General features: G+C 40.3%; 1 annotated feature.

The window, feature by feature from the left end:
• Window positions 5151–5200: an enhancer, noted in NCBI's record as "active region_29981". NCBI's record gives its function as "activates an Ori minimal core promoter by ATAC-STARR-seq in GM12878 lymphoblastoid cells {active_cell/tissue: GM12878}" and the evidence as "EXISTENCE:reporter gene assay evidence [ECO:0000049][PMID:35858748]".

Genomic DNA, 5676 nt, shown 5'->3' on the forward strand with positions numbered 1-5676 from the left:
TTAAATGCTTAGCCAGATCTAGGATTGAGTGCTCTGCCTTATCACCATTTCAACGAATCTTAAACTATTTGTCCTTTGAAGCCAAATTCACCAATCTTTTCTCCATACCCCCTTCTTCCCAGATCCCTGTGAGAAAGCATGAAACTGTCCTTTCCCTGAACTCCCACATGGTTGTGTCTATACTGCTCTCAAGGCACTTGCACTTTTTTACTAAGTAATTTTTTGTTTGTTTTTTGTGACTTCCGTACTAAAATGTCAGGCCCATGAGAGTGGGACTCCACCGCCATCCCCATAGCACCCAGCATATTGCTTGCACATGCCAGGCTGATAGTAAATATTTGTGGAATTAAATGAATAAATGAATGAATGCATTTCCTTTTTGCAACAGTCTCAACAATTTACATATGCTACCAGCAAGTGGCAGTAGTCTCCTTTGGCTGTTCTGCCATTCAGCAAGCTGCTGCTCATTAGAGCCTAAAATCATTCTACAAGTAATGCAATTCCCAGTTTTAGATAGTTTGGCAGAGCTGAAAGTGCTGAAATCAGAATCTAGTAATTTGAGCTTTTAGCCCCAGATCTGCCACTGACAAGATATGTGACTTTCAAATCAGTCCTTTACTTTCTGGATATTTTTCTGCATCTGCAAAATGAAGGATGGGATGATTTCCAGAGTTTGACATTCTGTGATTTTCATACCCTGCAAACTCAAGATAATGAGAGCTATGGATTCTTGGCTTGTTGCCATCGTCATTTTTTATCTCTTGTAGAATGTACTTAAGATAAGGTCATGGACAGAGGTATTTCCTTAGAAATTCTCTCTAAATGATCTTTCCTTGTTTGGATGTAATGGAAGATCACCAGGGCCTAACCATCCCTCCCTGACTAGTGTTAACTCTCACGACGAAAACAGGTAGTGATTCTTAGAAGTGAAGAAAGACGAGGATTAGGGGAGGAGGTTCAGTTCAAGAACCATGGGATCAGGCAATGTGGGAAGGCTGGGAATCTGCTGATTTGATTCCCAGAAGGATCTCTACTGTATCTGTTTCGAAACCTCTGTTTTGATTCTGCATGAATGTGTTTTTAAAATTATATTCTGGGGAAAAGGAGTAATTACTTTTTATAATTACTATGGTAATTTAACTATTTAATGTTTTTAAACCACAGTTCTATTTTCATCAATAAAATACTGTCCCTAAAACACTATTGGAGAGTGGACGGCTCTCGTAATATAATGCTAAGTGAAATAAACCAGATTAAACTTCTATAGACAATATGATCCATTGTGTTTAATTGTAACATATACACATAGAAAAGGAGAGAAGGCTCCCTATCAAGGATAGGAAGCAGGAAGCCAGACACTGGAGCAAAACGGCACACATTTTAGAACCCAGGGTAACTTCAGGTAAGCATCAGGAGAGAAAAAGTCTTGCTGTGTAGGTCGGGTTTTAAAGGCAAGAAGGGACAAAGGGCTGCCACGTTATTTAGAAAAAAAAAAAAGATGCACGTAATTGAGGTTCTGTATTTGATTAACAAATATAATGGATATCACATTCAAAGTTTTGTTACTTAGATGTAACAAAGGTAAATATTATTTTGATAAAGAGTTGAACTTGGTGTAGAAGTCTGGTTCTAGCTACAAGAAAATATCTTCACTCTTTTCTTATTACCTTGTGGCAGAGAGTGCAAATTACTGGAACAAAGAGTAAATTTGGAATAAGGATCTCCTCTGAGAGGGAAACTAATAGGGAAATAAAAATGTTTTCTAGTTACAAGAAACAACTGATTTAACTTTACCTTAACCAATGATATCAATGCATCTTAAGTATGCAGGAGAGACAGACAGAAAGTTTTCTGTGCATGTGCAGCACTGTCTAGGAGAAAGAAACAATCTCGTAATGTAATGCTAAGTGAAATAAATGAGATTAAACTTCTATAGACAATATCATCCATTGTGTTTAATTGTAATGTATACACATAGAAAAATTAGTGGAAAAAAACATACAAAATATGTTCACAGTGTTTATGATGGAATTTTACATAACAGGCAATTTTACTTTTCTTCCGTATAATTTTCTTTAACTTTTGAATTCTCTGTGGAACTAATAGAACGTTTACAATGTAAAAAGTAAAACTGATATCAAGGCTTATTATGTTAATAGTGAAAAAGGCAGGTATGGCTAAGTTTCTCTGGATCCTTGAAGCCCATCTTGCTGCCCATACTCCAACAGATTCCCAAGGGTAGGATATAATCACAAAGACGCCTCAGGAAAGAGCCTACTTATTGCTGAATCGCTTAAAGTATTAGGTTGGTGCAAAAGTGATCACGGTTTTTGCCATTAAAAGTAATAGCAAAATCACTTTTGCACCAACCTAATAGTTACTTACCTTGGTAAACTGGCCTGCTGTGTGTGAGGTGAAAGGACCCTTTTTTCCCCTTGAGCTTAAATGAGCTTAGATGAGAAGTAAAGCCTAAGCAGGTACAAGACAGATGTTTTTTTTTTTTTCTCCTTGGCCCACCCTGGTTTCCTTTTTGGGTAAGGTCAAGGCAGCCTGCTTATAAAGAGGAGACCACCCTGGCCTGTCTTGTCATACCAACCACATGAGTTGCAGGGGCAGGGGAGATCACAGAATGGAGAGAACTTGCACTGCACTGAAGAGGTTAGCCCTAGTCCTGTTCTAACTAAAATCACCTGACTCTTCCCGGAGAAAGCTCTAACACCTAGTAGGGGAGGACATGGGAGAAGCCTGGCCTTCTCCTAAAGCAGGGATTCCCAAACTTTGACGATGACCCCAGTACACACATACCACACACTCCCACACACACACCTGAAGTAAAACTTTCACAAAAAATACGTAATCCTCAGGGCTGGCTTCCTAGGCTTGTGGCCTGTTATAGTAGCACAGGGCCACACGCTCAGAAGAGCCGCATAGTTGGTTTAGTGTTCTACTACCACTGTCTAGGAATCTTTAATAATTTTATTTTTGAACTTGTGTTTTGTAAATGAAGTCAAATGCAACAGTGGAGCACGCACATGAGCAGAGTAGATGCGGAAAATGTGTGTTTCTTGTTCCCTCATTTACATACAGTGTTTGTGATGCCCCCAGAGAACACAACTGCAGTGAACTGGCAGTGCTTGGGAGTTCAGCAAGTCTCAAAGGGAGAAGAAGATGTGTTCCCTCTACAACTAAGGCGGGGTGGAGTAGGGTAGTGACAGACCAAAGAGGTCATGCTTACCTTTTGAACAAGATCTTGTTTCATAGACAGAAAGAATTCAATGCAATGGGATTCTAAGAAATATGAAAACCGGCCAGGCGCAGTGGTTCACACCTGTAATCCCAACACTTTGGGAGGCCAAGGTGGGTGGATCACGAGGTCAGGAGATCGAGACCATTCTGGCTAACACAGTGAAACCCTGTCTCTACTAAAAATACAAAACATTAGCCAGGCGTGGTGGCGGGCGCCTGTAGTCCCAGCTACTCGGGAGGCTGAGGCAGGAGAATGGTGTGAACCCAGGAGGTGGAGCTTGCAGTGAGCCGAGATCGCACCACTGCACTCCAGCCTGGGCCACAGAGCAAGACTCCGTCTCAAAAAAAAAAAAAAAAAAAAAAAAAAAAGTAATATGAAGAACCCTATTATATCCTATGGTGTTACTTTCCTGTATTAGCCAACCAGTTATGCTGAAGATGATGACATAGAAAAAAAGGGAGAAGATACATCAACCCTTTCTCTTTCATCATGCCTTACTCACCAGTAAACCAAAGGCAGAGACTATTTTTAGTATGTGTAGTATGTGCATGTATCGGAAGTGAAACAAAAACACTTCAATTCATTTTGTGCAGTGTTTCCACTGTTCTGGTAAAAGCTACAAAATATAAACTGTGTAGTTTTGGTGATTCTGCATGTAAGTTAAGTGCTTTTATATTTGTGTCTTTGAACTGGCCTTGCCTAATAAAGATTAACAGTAAATTTTATGTTAATAATTTAATTTTTTTTTTTTTTTACTTAGGGTTGGAATAAATAGCAAATAAAAATACACTGTGGCAGTCAGGCGCAGTGGGTCTCGCTTGTAATCCCAGCACTTGGGGAGACCGAGGTGGGCAGATTCCTTGAGTTCTGGAGTTCAAGACCTGCCTGGGAAACATGGTGAAACATGTCTGCACAAAAATTAAAAAATTAGCTGGGCATGGTGTGCACCTGTAGTCCCAGCTACTCGGGAGGCTGAGGTGGGAGGATCGCTGAAGCTCAGGAGTTCAAGGCTGCAGTGAGCCGTGATTGTCCCACTGCATTCCAGCTTGGGCGACAGAGTGAGACCCTGTCTCAAAAAAAAAAAAAAAATCCCCAATATGGCTGGCAAGTCAAGACAGAGACTGCAGAAAAAAGAAAAAAGCTTTATATTTGAGTCCCTCTAGCAACAGTATTTTCTGCCTTTTAATCAAGGAGCCCCATATTTCTATTTTGTGGTGAGCCCCAAAAATTATTTAGCTGGTCCTGCCTATAAGGTATGAGATCCATAATACTTTCTACTCTGGTCTTCTCTGTTTTTAAGTGTTACTCATGGATACAAACACATAGAAATGATAAATACTTAAGGTGATGGATACCCCAAATACCCTGGCTTGATCATTACACGTTCTATGCCTGTGGCAAACAGTCACATGTACCCTATAAATATGTAACACATTATGTATCAGTAAAAGAAAAAAGCCAAGCGTGATGGCTCACGCCTGTAATCCCAGCACATTGGGAGGCCAAGGCAGGTGGATCTCTTGAGCCCGGCAGTTACAGACCAGCCTGGGCAACATGGTGAAATCCCGTCTCTACAAAAAATACAAAAATTAACCAGGAGCACACCTATGGTCCCAGCTACTTGGAAGGCTGAGGTGGGAGGATTGCTTGAACCTGGGAGGTTGAGGCTGCAGTGAGCTGTGATCATGCCACTGAACTCTAGACTAGACAACAGAGCAAGACCCTGTCTCAAAAAAAAAAAAAAAAAAAAGGAAATGGAAAAAACTATAACACATGTAAATACACGAAGAACACAAGAAATAATAATTAATAATGTCATAAAAATAATGCTATCTTTAGTAATCCATATTACTTTAGAATGGTCTAGTCCATGAGTGTGTGAAATAAAAGGAGTCATGTAAATTGGGTTAAAAAATGTTGCTCATGATCCACTAAATTGATTTCATGACCCTTAATGGGTTGTGACAGGCAGTTGGCAGAACCCTGCCCTAGAGGTTAGAGTGCATGGTTAACATTTCCCCAAACATTTTCTCTTCAACTAAACCAAAGTGCTTAGCAGCCAGATCTGGGGTCAGTCAAAGGTGATTTCACTTCCCCTTGAGGGAGACAATTAGAGGTATAAGGAAAGTCCTACCAGCACCTTCGAAAGGCTGCTTGACTAATTATTGTCATGGCTGCTAGAACCAATGAGATGGCTAATTTGGTCCCTCAAGGCCTTATACAAATGTCTCTTTGATCTTACCTCAGAAGTCTCTGTAACCCATCAAAGTAATACTTCAATTAAGTTTATCCCAAGGCTATCCCACGTACTGGGTCAGGAAGTCACCCCCTATTCAATTTCTCATCTAAAATTATGCTCAACTCAGTTATCCAAATAGGGTCACCAGACAGGATTATACAAGGCACGCTAAATATTAACATCCCACAGA

This window comes from Homo sapiens, chromosome X (assembly GCF_000001405.40).
Source record: "Homo sapiens chromosome X, GRCh38.p14 Primary Assembly".
NCBI classification, from domain to species: domain Eukaryota; kingdom Metazoa; phylum Chordata; class Mammalia; order Primates; family Hominidae; genus Homo; species Homo sapiens.